The following is a 15,493-nucleotide window of genomic DNA, read 5'->3' as shown; positions in this document are numbered from 1 at the left end:
CAGAAGGAGATGCCTACAGAGACAGAGGCTCCATTTAGCTCCCAAGCCCTTCATTGAGGTTGGCGAGCAGGTCACTTCCCCAGGCAGTGGTCTGACCTTGCATCTGCAAGATGCACCTGAAACTGACACCTGCCTCCTAAGGGCTGTGTGAATACACATTCAGAGCTTAGAACAATGACTGGCACATGCACTCAGGAAATGTGTGCTATTATTGTTGTTGAGAGTTTTATAAAAAGCCACGACCTGGCCCGGCACGGTGGCTCATGCCTGTAATCCCAGCACTCTGGGAGGCCAAGGCAGGCGGATCACCAGGTCAGGGGATCGAGACCATTCTGGCTGACACGGTGAAACCCCATCTCTACTAAAAATACAAAAAATTAGCCGGGCGTGGCATGCGCCTGTAGTCCCAGCTACTCGGGAGGCCGAGGCAGGAGAATTGCTTGAACCCAGGAGGCAGAGGTTGCAGTGAGCCTAGATCGCGCCACTGCACTCTAGCCTGGGTGACAGAGTGAGGCTACGTCAAAAAAAAAAAAAAAATGCAAAAAGCCACGACCCTGTGAATGCAGATTTCAGGCAGATAATAATGATAGCAAACCCTTACAGAGTGTTTACCTGTCACTAGACACTGGGTGAAACATCCTGCATGTATTAATGCATTTAATCTTCACACTAACCCTATGAAGAAGACCTTATGATCATCACCCTCTTTCTGTAGATGAGGAAACTGAGGCACTGAGAAGTTAACTCACTTGCTAGCAGGTCAAACAGTTAGCAGATGGCAGTTCTCATATTTGAACGTGGCCAGTCTAAAATGTGTGTTTGAAGAGACACAGGGGGGCTCCCACCTCAATCTGCCCCCAGTACCTGTGGCTTTGGACAGGCCATGCCTTTGGGCAGCTCTGGCCTCTGCTTTCTAAGTCCCTGTCCCTTGTCTGTGTCTGGAAATGACCTGGGCTCCAGCTGAGTGCTGGTGGCATGAACCGGCCAGCCAGCTCACTGGGGAGAGCACACCCCAGAATAATTCTGCTGTCTGAAGGGAGGACTCCTGTGCTGTGGTCACGTGACTGCAAAGGCACTTGCTGAAATTGCTGTTCCTGGGACTCCTAAAGACAGTAGAGCTGCCAGATTTGTGTCCTGACCGTGTCTAGACAGAGGATGTCATGGGGGGAGGGCAAGGACGGTGCGACAACCCTGAGGGACCCCTGGTGTGGGGAGAGGCAGGGGGTGTGCAAGGAGTGTAGGTTGGAGGGAGATGACCAAGGGGCTTCTGTGAATGTGGCCAGAACCAGCAGGAAGGCAGAATCCTTCCCGCCCTTCCTTTATGATTTGCAGACCTGGACCCAGCCCAGCCTCCAGAAGAGACTTAAAGAGATTTAAGCAGCTGGCTAGCAGGACTTTGTTTTTCACAGAATAGACTCACTTTTTCATAGAACAGGGCTGGGGTAAGGCCAGGAAAATTCAACAGGCACTAAAAATATTGTCAAGCTGCTGACAGCACAGCCAGAGGCCCCAGGCCTGGGTGGCATCCAGACAGCCCTGTCCTTTCTAGACAGCCCCCTCCTCCAGGCTCAGGGACCTGTCTGGCTGTGAGCTCCCAGGAGGTCCCAGGGGTGTGACCTCCCTCCCTCCCTCCCTCCCTCTTCCCTTCACCCCAGGCCAGCCCAGGGCCAGCTATAAAGCTGGCCCAGCCTGGCTCTCAGCACACCCAGCTGCCTGAGACCCTCCTTCAACCTCCCTAGAGGACAGCCCCACTCTGCCTCCTGCTCCCCCAGGGCAGCACCATGTGGCCCCTGTGGCTCTGCTGGGCACTCTGGGTGCTGCCCCTGGCTGGCCCCGGGGCGGCCCTGACCGAGGAGCAGCTCCTGGGCAGCCTGCTGCGGCAGCTGCAGCTCAGCGAGGTGCCCGTACTGGACAGGGCCGACATGGAGAAGCTGGTCATCCCCGCCCACGTGAGGGCCCAGTATGTAGTCCTGCTGCGGCGCAGCCACGGGGACCGCTCCCGCGGAAAGAGGTTCAGCCAGAGCTTCCGAGGTGAGACCCTCCCTCCCTGCTGGCCCCGGTCCCATGGTCGGGGGCAGGCCGGTTGTGCCCACTCTGGAGGTGTCGAAGGGCCCCTGGCCTTTTGGGACTCTGTGGGAGGCTGTGTGAGGGCCACGGTCCAAGGAGCAGTGAGGAGGAGCCGGGCCTGGGTCCAGGGTCTCCAGCTGTGCACTGAGGCCCCCCTCCAGCCCAGGGGAGGTGCACCAGGCTAGACCTGCTGGAAAAACCAAGACTTCAGAGAAGGGGAGGGTAGAGGAGAGAAAGTAGAGCTGGGGGAGCAGGTGAGTGTGTGCCTCAAGGCACTTGGTGCAGCTGGACTCCCAGGGTATGTTTTCACACTGCCACTCTGGTCTGAGCCTGACCTTGAGTAAATGGCTTTAAAATCCTCTCTCCACCATGTGCTCATCTGGAACAGGGGTATGACTATGTCTTCGCCATCTCCCAGCACTGTGAACGTCAAAGTGAGTCCTTGTGGATAGAAGCGTGTTTGGATAACTGAAAAATACCTAAGTAGACTACCTGGGTTATACCTGGCTGTCAGGGGTGCAACTGGGCCTGAATCCTCCTGCAGCCTCTCGCCTCCCTAGCTCCTCAGTGCCCAGAGCTAGAGCCAGTGCCAGGCACCTGGGTGAGGATTCTGCTCCCAGCATCTCAGCTGAGGCAAACTTGCTAGCCAGGGTCCCACAGGCCCCCCTGCCTGCTGGATGGAAATTGTTACTAAACAAGGCCCAGATCCAAGGAAGATTTGTAAACTGGGTTTGCCCCAGAGATAGAACAGGGCCGGTGTCTCCTGGCCTGGCTGCCAGCTCAGTGGCCCTGCCATCCTCAGAGCTCCGCTGGAGTCCGGGGAGGCCCTGCTGACCCTGCTCTTGTCCCCAGAGGTGGCCGGCAGGTTCCTGGCGTCGGAGGCCAGCACACACCTGCTGGTGTTCGGCATGGAGCAGCGGCTGCCGCCCAACAGCGAGCTGGTGCAGGCCGTGCTGCGGCTCTTCCAGGAGCCGGTCCCCAAGGCCGCGCTGCACAGGCACGGGCGGCTGTCCCCGCGCAGCGCCCAGGCCCGGGTGACCGTCGAGTGGCTGCGCGTCCGCGACGACGGCTCCAACCGCACCTCCCTCATCGACTCCAGGTGGGGGTCGCGCGGGCGCGCAGGGCAGGAGTAGGAGGCTGCTCGGCCCGGCTTGGGGGCGGGGACGCAGGGGGCGGTGCAGGGTCCTCGGGGCCCGTCCCAGTCCCCGCCCTCAAGCGGCGCTGGGTCTCCGTGTCGTGTGTATCATGTCTCAGGCTGGTGTCCGTCCACGAGAGCGGCTGGAAGGCCTTCGACGTGACCGAGGCCGTGAACTTCTGGCAGCAGCTGAGCCGGCCCCGGCAGCCGCTGCTGCTACAGGTGTCGGTGCAGAGGGAGCATCTGGGCCCGCTGGCGTCCGGCGCCCACAAGCTGGTCCGCTTTGCCTCGCAGGGGGCGCCAGCCGGGCTTGGGGAGCCCCAGCTGGAGCTGCACACCCTGGACCTCAGGGACTATGGGTAGGTGCAGGACTGGGCAGAAGGGAGGCAAGCAGCCACTGAGTGGTCCAGACCCCCGTCCCCAGGACTGTCTGGGGGACCGGATGGTGGCGGTGGGCTAGGGGTAGGGAGAGCGCGGTGCAGACTGTCCCAGGATGCCAGCGATTGCCCACTACATGTCAGGGTTTCTAATGGCAGAAATTGTATTGTTGGCCAGGCGTGGTGGCTCAGACCTGTAATCCTAGCACTTTGGGAGGCCGAGGCGGGCTGGATCACAAGATCAGGAGTTTGAGACCAGCCTGACCAACATGATGAAACCCCGTGTCTACCAAAAATACAAAAATTAGCCGGGCGTGGTGGCGCGTGCCTGTAATCCCAGCTACTCAGGAGGCTGAGGCAGGAGAATCACTTGAATCCGGGAGGTGAAGGTTGCAGTGAGCTGAGATCACACCACTGCACTCCATCCAGCCTGGAGGACAGAGCGTGATTCTGTCTCAAAAAAAAAAAAAAAAAAAGGAAACAAAGAAAAGAAAAGAAAAAGAAATATTATATTATTCAGGCCAGGCGCAGTGGCTCATGCCTGTAATCCCAACACTTTGGGAAGCTGAGGTGGAGGATTGCTTAAAGCCAGGAGTTTGACACCAGCCTCGGCCACACAGTGAAATCCTATCCTTAAAAAAATAAATAAAAAAAAAAAGTTTTAAAGAAACGACAAAAAAAAAATTGTAAGGCCAAGTATGGTGGCTCACGCCTGTAATCCCAGCACTTTGGGAGTGGAGGCCAGCGGGTCACCTGAGGTCAGGAATTCCAGACCAGCCTGGCCAACATGGTGAAACCCCGTCTCTACTAAAAATATAAAAATTAGCTGGGCGTGGTGGCGGGCGCCTGTAATCCCAGCTACTTGGGAGGCTGTGGCAGGAGAATTGTATGATTTATTTTATTTAAAAATATCTTTGACAATCTTCAATGGATTTTTCTATTGCCATTGACTCCATATACACGATTGTAATCATCTACTTTCACTTTACCCTTCTCCATGATTAAATCTTTGAAAAATCCTAGCTTTAGCTGTTACTAGGGGCGATGAGCTTTCCTCCTGCTTTGGTGAATTCTTTCTCATGGACAAGTTAGCTCTCTGGAGCAGATGGGGGCTGTGTAGCACAGTGGTTAAGAAGAGGCCTTGGAGCCGGTTGGCCTGGGCTCCATCTAGCTCTGCCTTCCACTGGCTGTAGGTCCTCTGGCCCATCACCGAACACCTCTGGGTGTCAGTGGCCTCAGGTGGAATGGGGATAATGCTGGAACCTACCTGAGGATGAAATGCAGACATCACCTGAGATAATACATGTGAAGTACCTAGTTCATTGTCTGGCCTATTAGGAGACCTTTAATTAATAGTAGCTGATTTATTATTTATGTTTCAGATATGTTTATTCATCTTCTCACAAATATCCAGCTTTTAGAACATAGTGAGAGCTGGATCATAAACCTCCCTCCCAGGTGCCCACTAAGCTGTGCCCCAGGCCTTCTGACTTCAGCCTCCCAGATGACCTCTGACCCTGCTCTCCTTGCCCACACAGAGCTCAGGGCGACTGTGACCCTGAAGCACCAATGACCGAGGGCACCCGCTGCTGCCGCCAGGAGATGTACATTGACCTGCAGGGGATGAAGTGGGCCAAGAACTGGGTGCTGGAGCCCCCGGGCTTCCTGGCTTACGAGTGTGTGGGCACCTGCCAGCAGCCCCCGGAGGCCCTGGCCTTCAATTGGCCATTTCTGGGGCCGCGACAGTGTATCGCCTCGGAGACTGCCTCGCTGCCCATGATCGTCAGCATCAAGGAGGGAGGCAGGACCAGGCCCCAGGTGGTCAGCCTGCCCAACATGAGGGTGCAGAAGTGCAGCTGTGCCTCGGATGGGGCGCTCGTGCCAAGGAGGCTCCAGCCATAGGCGCCTGGTGTATCCATTGAGCCCTCTAACTGAACGTGTGCATAGAGGTGGTCTTAATGTAGGTCTTAACTTTATACTTAGCAAGTTACTCCATCCCAATTTAGTGCTCCTGTGTGACCTTCGCCCTGTGTCCTTCCATTTCCTGTCTTTCCCGTCCATCACCCATCCTAAGCACTTACGTGAGTAAATAATGCAGCTCAGATGCTGAGCTCTAGTAGGAAATGCTGGCATGCTGATTACAAGATACAGCTGAGCAATGCACACATTTTCAGCTGGGAGTTTCTGTTCTCTGGCAAATTCTTCACTGAGTCTGGAACAATAATACCCTATGATTAGAACTGGGGAAACAGAACTGAATTGCTGTGTTATATGAGGAATTAAAACCTTCAAATCTCTATTTCCCCCAAATACTGACCCATTCTGGACTTTTGTAAACATACCTAGGCCCCTGTTCCCCTGAGAGGGTGCTAAGAGGAAGGATGAAGGGCTTCAGGCTGGGGGCAGTGGACAGGGAATTGGGATACCTGGATTCTGGTTCTGACAGGGCCACAAGCTAGGATCTCTAACAAACGCAGAAGGCTTTGGCTCGTCATTTCCTCTTAAAAAGGAGGAGCTGGGCTTCAGCTCTAAGAACTTCATTGCCCTGGGGATCAGACAGCCCCTACCTACCCCTGCCCACTCCTCTGGAGACTGAGCCTTGCCCGTGCATATTTAGGTCATTTCCCACACTGTCTTAGAGAACTTGTCACCAGAAACCACATGTATTTGCATGTTTTTTGTTAATTTAGCTAAAGCAATTGAATGTAGATACTCAGAAGAAATAAAAAATGATGTTTCACTCTGTGTCTGTTTTTAATTTCCAGGAGCAATAATGGGGAATGAGAGCAACACAATGATCTGAAGAAAGGACCCCCAACCTCTAGGGCGCAAGACTATAATAGTTAAATTTATATAGATGAGGCTTTCATTTATGATATTTCTATTTTCTCACACAACTCTCATTCCAAAAATATTAAACAATCACTCACGGATGTCTCCTCTTTAGTTTATGTGTTGCCAAAGCAAGCACTGCAGCCTCATTTTTTTTTTTTTGAGACAGAGTGTGGCTCTGTCACCCAGGCTGGAATGCAGTGGCACGATCATGGCTCACCGCAAACTCCGCCTCCCTCCCAGGTTTAAGCAATTCTCACGCCTCAGCCTCCCGAATTACAGGCATGTGCCACCATGCCCAGCTAATTTTTTTTTTTTTTTGAGACGGAGTCTCACTCTGTTGCCCAGGCTGTAGTGCAGTGGCATGATCTCGGTTCACTGCAACCTCCTCCTCCTGGGTTCAAGCAATTCTCCTGCCTCAGGCTCCCTAGTAGCTGGGACTATAGGCGACCACCACCATGGCCAGCTAATTTTTTGGGTTTTGTTGTTGTTGTTGTTGAGATGAGTCTCGCACTGTCACCTGGGCGGAAGTGCAGTGGCGTGATCTCAGCTCACTGCAACCTCTGCCTCCCAGGTTCAAGCGATTCTCCTGCCTCAGCCTCCCAAGTAGCTGGGATTACAGGCGCCCACCACCACGCCCGGCTAATTTTTTGTATTTTTAGTAGAGATGGGGTTTCCCCATGTTGGCCAGGCTGGTCTCGAACTCCTGATCTCGTGATTCACCTGCCTCGGCCTCCCAAAGTGCTGGGATTACAGGTGTGAGCCACCGTGCCCGGCCCTTGGTATTTTTTTAGTAGAGACTGGGTTTCACCATGTTGGCCCGGCTGGTTTCGAACTCCTGATTTCAGGTGATCCGACCGCCTTGGCCTCCCAAAATGCTGGGATTACAGGCATAAGCCACTGTGCCCAGCCTAATTTTTGCATCTTTTAGTAGAGACGGGGTTTTGCTATTTGGCCAGGCTGGTCTTGAACTCCTGACCTCAAGTGATCCGCCCGCCTCAGTTTCCCAAAGTGCTGGGATTACAGGCGTGAGCCACGGTGCCCGGCCTACCTCCTCTTTAGAAAGCACTGTAACCCCTACAATAGTGGTGATGGGCAATGGGGGTTGACAATAGTGTGGTAAGCGAGCTAACATTTCTTATCATTCACTATGAACCAGGGAACTGGACTAGGCATTGTCACATGTCACTTAATTCTTGCAGCTATCCCATAAGGTGGGTATTATTAATCCTATTTTTTAGATGAAGAAACAGCCTGAGGTAATGCGAGCATGTTGAATCTCTATCCCACAGAATGGGTTATAAACTTCTTCCTATGCCAGTCCCCAATAAGCTGCTCTGCTGATGACACAGGCATCAGGTTAAAATGTCATTTGGGAGCTGTCTTATGCAATTCCCCTCCATTTAGCTTTCCCATTGAGCTGGGTTTCCTTATGCTTGTCTATGGAGAAAGTTATACAGTCATATACCGCAAAATGATAGTTCGGTCAATGACAGACCACATACACAATGGTGGTCCCATAAGATTACAATGGAGCTGAAAAATCCCTATGGTCTAGTGACATCATAGTCATTATAATGTCCTAGCACAACCCATTACTCATGTGTTTGTGGTGATGCTGATATAAACACACTTACTGTGCTGTCAGTTGTATAAAAACATAGCACATGCTAGGCCGGGCATGGTGGCTCACGCCTGTAATCCTAGCACTGTGGGAGGCTGAGGAGGGTGGATCACCTGGAGTCAGGAGTTCGAGGCCAGCCTGACCAATATAGTAAAACCCCTTCTCTACTAAAAAAACAGAAACTAGTCAGGCGTGGTGGCGGGTGCCTGTAGTCCCAGTTACTCAGGAGGATGAGACAGGAGAAGAATCACTTGAACCCTGGAGACGGAGGTTGCAGTGAGCTGATATCACACCACTGCACTCCAGTCTGGGTAACAGAGTGAGACTCCATCTCAAAAAATAAATAAAATAAAGCACAGCACATGTAATTATATATAGTATATAATACTTGATAAGTGACTGTTACTGTTATGTATTTACTATACTTTTTATTATTTTAGAGTACTCGTTCTACTTATTAAAAAAAAAAAGTTAACTGTAAAACAGGCTCAGGCGGTTCCTTCAGGAGGAATCCAGAAGAAGGCATTGTTATCATAAGAGATGACAGCTCCGTATATGTTATTGCCCCTGAAGACCTTCTACTGGGACAAGATGTGGAGGTGGAAGACAGTGATATTGCTGATCCTGACCCTGTGTAGGCCTAGGCTACTGTGTGTGTTTGTGTTTTATTTTTTAACAAAAAACTTAAAAATTAGAAAAAAAATAAACTTTTTAATAGAAAAAGTTTATAGAATAAGGATAAAAAGAGGCCAGGCGCGGTGGCTCATGCCTGTAATCCTAGCACTTTGGGAGGCCGAGGTGGCAAATTGGCTGAACTCAGGAGTTTGAGACCAGCCAGGGCAACATGGTGAAACCCCAACTCTACTAAAATACAAAAAAATTACCTGGGCATGGTGGCGCATGCCTATAGTCCCAGCTACTCGGGAAGCTGAGACAGGAGAATCACTTGGATCCGAGAGGCAGAAGTTGCAGTGAGCCGAGATCACACCACTGGACTCCAGCCTGGGCAACAGAGCAGGACTCTGTTCCCCTCCAAAAAAATAAAAGAATAAGGATAAAAAGAAAAATATTGTATAAATCTGTACAATATGTTTCTGTTTTAATTGTTATTACAAAAGAGTTGGCCAGGTGTGGTGGCTCATGCCTGTAATCCCAGCACTTTGGGAGGCTGAGGTGGGCGGATCACCTGAGGTCGCGAGTTCAAGACCAGCCTGACCAACATGGTGAAACCCTTTCTCTACTAAAAATATAAAATTAGCCGGGCATGGTGGTGCATGCCTGTAATCCCAGCTACTCGGGAGGCTGAGGCAGGAGAATCACTTGAACCTGGGAGGCAGAGGTTGCAGTGAGCTGAGATCGCACCATTGCACTCCAGCCTGGTGACAGAGTGAGACTCCGTTTCCAAAAAAAAAAAAGAGTCAAAAAGTTTCTTTTTAATTTAACGTTTATAAAAAAGTTACAGTAAGCTAAGGTCAATTATTAAAGAAAGAAAAATTTATTTTTACAAATTTAGTGTAGGCTAAGTATACAGTGTTGATAAAGTCTACAGTAGTGTACAGTAATGTCCTAAGCCTTCACATTCACTCATTACTCACTCACTGACTCACCCAAAGCAACCTCCACTCCTCCAAGCTCCATTCATGGCAAGTGCCCTATAGATGTTGTGCCATTTTAAAATATTTTACACTATATTTCTACTATATCTTCTCTATGTTTAGGTATGTTTAGATACACAAATACTTACCATTGTGTTACGATTGCCTACAGTATTCAGTACAGTAATATGCTGCACAGGTTTGTAGCCTAGGAGCAATAGGCTACACCACATAGTCTAGGTGTGTAGTAAACTCCACCGTGTAGGTTTATGTGAGTGCGCTCCATGATGTTTCCACAGCAATGAAATCGCCTAACAATGCATTTCTTAGAACACATCCCCATCGTTTTTTTTTTTTTTTTTTTTTGAGTTGGAGTCTTGCTCTGTCACCCAGGCTAGAGTGCAGTGGTGTGATCTCAGCTCACTGCAGACTCCGCCTCCCAGACTCAATCGATTCTCCTGCCTCAGCCTCCCAAGTAGCTGGGATTACAGGTACCCGCCACCGCGCTCAGCTAATTTTTGTATTTTTTAGTAGAGGCAGGGTTTCACCATCTTGGCCAGGCTGGTCTCCAACTCCCGACCTCATGATCCATCTACTTTGGCCTCCCAAAATGCTGGGATTACAGGCATGAACCACCGCACCAGGCCAATATCCCCATTGTTAAGTGAGGCATGGCTGTACTTCGGGATAAAGGACTCTCTATTTCTTACCTGCAAAGCTAATTAATACTAACTAAATAATAAGAGAAAAATAGGCTGGGTGTGGTGGCTCATGCCTGTAATCCCAGCACTTTGGGAGGCTGAGGCGGGTAGATCGCTCTAGGCCAAGGAGTTCTAGACCAGCCTGGCCAACATGGTGAAACCCCATCTCTACTAAAAATACAAAAATTAGCTGGGCATGGTGGTGCACACCTGTGATCCTAGCTACTCAGGAGGCTGAGGTAGAGAATCACTTGAACCTGGGAGGTGGAGGTTGCAGTGAGCCGAGATTGTGCCACTGCACTCCAGCCTGGGTGACAGAGCCAGACTCTGTCTCAAAAAAAAAATTAAAATCATAACAGAAGAAAAATAGAGCTAAAAAATGTCTAAAGAGGGCCAAGATTTTCCAGTTGGGGTATTGTAAATACCAGGGCATATGGTTGCTTTGTGTACCAGAAGGATATCAATATCCACCTGAAGAACTCTACCAGTTACACAGTGATGTATCTGTGGCTCTAAAAGATCTGTGGATTCCCAGGCAGTCACATGCAATCAGTGACAAAGATGGGCCTGCTCACACCAGGCTGAGTGTGAGCTAAAAAAAAAAAAAAAATGTAGGAGATTGGCTTCATTTCAAAATGTAAGGCGTGCTCATTAGGATAGGGAGACAGTGTGGTAGACAGAACGCTCTCCCCAAAGACACCTGGGCCCTAATCCTTGCAACCTGTGACTGTTATGTTACATAGCAAAAAGGACTCTGCAGATGTAATTAAGGTTACAAACCTTAAAATAGGGAGATTATCGTGGATTATCTGAGTGTGCCCAATCTAATCACATGAGCCCTTCAAAGCAGAGAACTTTCTCTGGCTGGAGGCAGGAGAGATGAGGTAGAAGGGAGAGGTCAAAGAGATCTGAAGCATGAGAAGGACTTGCCCTGCCATTGCTGGTCTGAAGATGAGGGAAGCCATGAGCTAGAGAATGTGAGTGGCCTCTAAAAGGTGGGCTGACTCCCAGCTGATAGCCAGCAAGGAAAGGGGACCTCAGATCTACACCCACATGGAAGTCGAATTCTGCCAACACTTGAATGAGTCTGAAGGTGGATCCTCCCCCAGAGCCTCCAGATAAGAGCCCAGATTATCAGCTGACATGGGGATTTGTCTTTATGAGACCTGGAGCAGAGAAACCAGCTGAGGCTACTCAGACTGTTTTTTTGTCTTGTTTTGTTTTGTTTTGTTTTGTTTTGTTTTAAAGACAGGGTCTCACTGCCACCCAGACTGGAGTAAAGCACGATCATAGCTCACTGCAGCCTCTATCTCCCAGGCTCAAGTGATCCTCCCACCTCCCTCTCCCCAAGTAGCTGGGACTACAGGCTCATACCACCATACTGGCTAATTTTTACAATTTTTGTAAAGACAGGGGTCTCCCTACATTGCCCAGCATGGCCTCAAACTCAGACTTTAAATCTACAAAATGTGAGATAAAGTTGTTTCATTTTAAGCAGCTAAATTTGTGATGAATTAATACAGCAGCAATAGAAAATTAATACAGACAGTAAGCCAAATCCCATTAGAAGTAGGATGTAATTACAATTTTTTTTCACTTAAAAGATGAAATAAAGGGCCAGGTGCAGTGGCTCAAGCCTGTAATGCCAGCGCTTTGGGAGGCCAAGGCAGGCAGATTGCTTGAGCCTGCGAGTTCAAAACCAAACTGTACAACATAGTGAGACCATCCCCATCATCTATACTTTAAAAAATACAAAAAATTAGCCAGGAGTAGTGGTTGTAGTTCCAGCTACTTGGCAGGCAGAAGTGGGAGGAGTGTTTGAGCCTGGGAAGTTGAGGCTGCAGTGAGCTGTGATGATGCCACTACACTTTAGCCTGGGTGACACAGCAAGAACTTGTCTCAAAAAATAAATAAATAAATAAATAAATAAATAACATTAAAGATAATTTTTAATGTATTGCAAACCACCCATAATCCCACCATCCTAAAACAAAATTATTTTGGTTTTTGCATATCACCTGTTTCCATGCAGCATGAGTAAATACTTATTTTAAAAACCAAGGTTTTGGCTGGGCACGATGGCTCACGCCTGTAATCCCAGCACTTTGGGAGGCCGAGGTGGGTGGATCACGAGGTCAGGAGATGGAGACCATCCTGGCTAACATGGTGAAACTCTGTCTCTACTAAAAAAAAAAAAAAACAAAACAACAAAAAAAATTAGCCAGGCGTGGTGGTGGGCACCTGTAGTCCCAGCTACTCGGGAGGCTGAGGCAGGAGGATGGTGTGAACCCGGGAGGCGGAGCTTGCAGTGAGCTGAGATCCCGCCACTGCACTCCAGCCTGGGGCGACAGAGCGAGACTCTGTCTCAAAAAAAAAAAAAAAAAAAAAATCAAGGTTTTGGCCAGGTATGGTGGCTCACGCTTGTAATCCCAGCACTTTGGGAGGCCAAGGTGGGTGGATCACCTGAGGTCAGGGGTTCGAGACCAGCTTGGCCAACACGGTGAAACCCCGTCTCTACTAAAAATACAAAAATTAGCTGGGTGTGGTGGTGCACACCTGTAGTCCCAGCTCCTCAGGAGGCTGGGGCAGGAGAATTACTTGAACCTGGGAGGCAGAGGTTGCAGTGTGCTGAGATTGCACCACTGTACTCCAGCCTGGGTGACAAAGCTAGACTCCGTCTCAAAAAAAAAAAAAAGTTTTTCTTATCTTTCTTTTTTTTTTAATTATACTTTAAGTTCTAGGGTACTTGTGCACAACGTACAGGTTTGTTACATATGTATACATGTGCCATGTTGGTGTGCTGCACCCATTAAGTCATCATTTACATTAGGTATATCTCCTAATGCTATCCCTCCCCCCTCCCCCTACCCCACAACAAGCCCTGGTGTGTGATGTTCCCCTTCCTGTGTCCAAGTGTTCTCATTGTTCAATTGCCACCTATGAGTGAGAACATGCGGTGTTTGGTTTTTTGTTCTTGCGATAGTTTGCTTTTTTTTCTTTCTTTTCTTTTTCTTTTTTTTTTTGAGACAGGGTCTCACCCTTTTGCTCAGGCTGGAGTGCAGTAGCAGGATCTTAGCTCACTGTAACCTCCACCTCCCAGGCTCAAGTGATCCTGCCACCTCAGCTTCCTGAGTAGTTGGGCCTACAGGCACGAACCACCACACTCGGCTAATTTTTTATTTTTATTATTTATTTATTTTTATTTTTTTATTTTTTGGTAGAGACAGGGTTTTGCCATGTTGCCCAGGATGGTCTCAAACTCCTGAGCTCAAGTGATCCTCCTGTCTCAGCCTTCCAAAGTGTTGGAATTACAGGCATGAGCCACTGCGCCCGGCCAAAATCAAGTTTTAATGTGCTTATTGCATGGGAAAAAGAAGTGAAGAGAGTTATTCTCCAAAAGGGTCACATTTGTTCTAAATCTTTGTGTGGTGGAATTGAAAACAATGTTTTTCCATTTGTTCTCTTTCTTTTTTGTTTTTTCGAGGCAGAGTGTCACTCTGTCGCCCAGGCTGAAGTGCAGTGGCACGATCTCAGCTCACTGTAACCACCGCTTCCTGGGTTCAAGCGATTCTTGTGCATCCGCCACCAGAGTAGCTGGGAGTACAAGCGCAGGCCATGATGCCCGGCTAATTTTTGTATTTTTAGTAGACAGGGTTTTGCCACGTTGGCTAGGCTGGTTTGGAACTCCTGTTTTCAAATGATCGCCTGCCTTGTTCTCCCAAAGTGCTGGGATTACAGGAATGAGCCACTGCACCCAGCCTTCCATTTGATCTCATTTCTAATTTTTCTAAAATAAACATGGATTATTTATGCAATAACAAAAAGAATGCAAAAATGCACTCAAAAATGCGCCTCTTTGGAGAGGCTCCTAGGACAGGGAGGATTGAGGGCCAAGGCACTTGCCATCTGTTTATCTGGGAGCAGCACAGGCTTCTCTCTCATTTCCTAGGTCATCTCAGTTCTTAGGAGAGACTGGCCTGCTGTTTAGAGATAGGAGAGACTGGCCTGCTGTTTAGAGGGAGGCCCTGAGGCCCTGATAGTGAAGAAGCAGAAGTAGACAGAAGTGAAGCAGTATCCATTTTGTCTGAGACAGCTGGAGAGGGCCATCAGGCAGGACAGAGGGGAGTGAAGAGGGAGGAAGGGTACAAACAGCAGAACCTGACTGGTGGATGAGAGGATGGGAGTAGAGGGGTGAAGGTGGGCAGTCCTGGCAGCTTTGTGGACGTGTCTGCTCCGAGACAGCAAAAGGATAGTGGGTGCCCAAGGAGACAAGTGCCAGCAGGGACTGAGCATGTCCCATGGCAGGATGGCAGTGCAAGGCTGGGGTGTCCTTTAGGGTGGCTGGATGGGAACGAAGGGCTTCCCCTCTCCTCTCCTCAACTTCAGTTCAGAGGAACTCCACAGGCATCAGATGTGACTGCCTTAGAAACCAAGGCAGTGGCCACAGCACCAAGGAAATGGGACGTTAGAGTCAGCAAGGTCATTAAAAGAGAATAAAATGGTCTTACCTATATTTAAAATAGGTAACAGGCTGGGTGCGGTGGCTCATGCCTGTAATCCTAACACTGGGAGGCCAAGGAGGGAGGATTGCTTGAGGTCAAGAGTTCAAGATCAACCTAGACTAACATAGTGAGACCCCGTCTCTATTTTATATATATATTTTATATATACATATATTTGGGTTTTTTTTGTTTTCTTACTTTGTTTTTATTTTTTGTTGTTTTCTTTTCTCTTTTGCTCTTTTTTATTTCCATCTTATATTTTTAAAAAATAAAATATAATAGATTTTGTATATATAAACTTTAAACTTTGGAGATGAAAAAATAATAGATCAAAACTACCACAAAAAAGAACAGTTTGTGGTCAGTGGCTCACTTGCTGCCCTAAGTCCAAACTGAGGGGAGCAAGTGCTTTTGCTACTCCGTGTCTTATGTGGCCAGTCCTGGCTGGGGATGAAGCCAACACTGGGGGTCACCAACATGGCCTCTTTTTTTTTTTTTTTTTTTTTTTTAGACAGAGTCTCACACTGTCACTCAGCCTGGAGTGCAGTGGCACAATCTTGGCTCACTGCAATCTCCACCTCCCAGGTTCAAGCAATTCCCCTGTCTCAGCCTCCTGAGTAGCTGAGATTATAGGTGCCCGCCACCACATCCGGCTAATTT

General features: G+C 49.1%; 1 protein-coding gene across 3 annotated transcripts, besides 3 other annotated features; it reads left to right on the top strand.

Moving 5' to 3' along the window:
- Window positions 124–183: a silencer, noted in NCBI's record as "silent region_1867". NCBI's record gives its function as "represses an Ori minimal core promoter by ATAC-STARR-seq in GM12878 lymphoblastoid cells {active_cell/tissue: GM12878}" and the evidence as "EXISTENCE:reporter gene assay evidence [ECO:0000049][PMID:35858748]".
- LEFTY2 (left-right determination factor 2) lies at window positions 1,702–6,319 on the top strand. 3 transcript variants are annotated; one of them, NM_001172425.3, is made up of 5 exons: window positions 1,702–2,031; window positions 2,920–2,948; window positions 3,051–3,166; window positions 3,322–3,561; window positions 5,118–6,319. In NM_001172425.3, exons 1-5 carry the CDS (start codon window positions 1,782–1,784, stop codon window positions 5,479–5,481), a joined length of 999 nt encoding a protein of 332 aa, NP_001165896.1. In that variant the 5' UTR covers window positions 1,702–1,781; the 3' UTR covers window positions 5,482–6,319. The 3 variants fall into 3 exon arrangements, with proteins under 3 accessions (NP_001165896.1, NP_003231.2, XP_011542568.1); NM_003240.5 differs by having other exon boundaries at window positions 2,920–3,166; XM_011544266.2 differs by having other exon boundaries at window positions 2,920–3,166; window positions 4,962–6,319.
- Window positions 3,060–3,637: an enhancer, noted in NCBI's record as "H3K27ac-H3K4me1 hESC enhancer chr1:226126985-226127562 (GRCh37/hg19 assembly coordinates)". NCBI's record gives its function as "activates a minimal SCP1, AML or CMV promoter by ChIP-STARR-seq in naive H9 embryonic stem cells {active_cell/tissue: H9 hESC(naive)}" and the evidence as "EXISTENCE:reporter gene assay evidence [ECO:0000049][PMID:30033119]".
- Window positions 14,032–14,684: a transcriptional cis regulatory region, noted in NCBI's record as "candidate enhancer chr1.11973 targeted for multiplex CRISPR interference". NCBI's record gives its function as "positively regulates PYCR2 gene expression with high confidence in K562 cells {active_cell/tissue: K562}" and the evidence as "EXISTENCE:mutant phenotype evidence [ECO:0000015][PMID:30612741]".

This window comes from Homo sapiens, chromosome 1 (assembly GCF_000001405.40).
Source record: "Homo sapiens chromosome 1, GRCh38.p14 Primary Assembly".
Classification (NCBI taxonomy): Eukaryota; Metazoa; Chordata; class Mammalia; order Primates; family Hominidae; genus Homo; species Homo sapiens.
This window is presented reverse-complemented; position numbering and strand designations above follow the sequence as displayed.

Excerpts from the sequence above, each read along its gene's own strand:
- LEFTY2 (NM_003240.5), top strand. The coding sequence starts at position 1,782 with ATGTGGCCCCTGTGGCTCTGCTGGGCACTCTGGGTGCTGCCCCTGGCT. Across the intron at positions 3,167-3,321 it reads ACCTCCCTCATCGACTCCAG|GCTGGTGTCCGTCCACGAGA; the intron begins GTGGGGGTCGCG and ends ATCATGTCTCAG. Across the intron at positions 3,562-5,117 it reads CTGGACCTCAGGGACTATGG|AGCTCAGGGCGACTGTGACC; the intron begins GTAGGTGCAGGA and ends TTGCCCACACAG.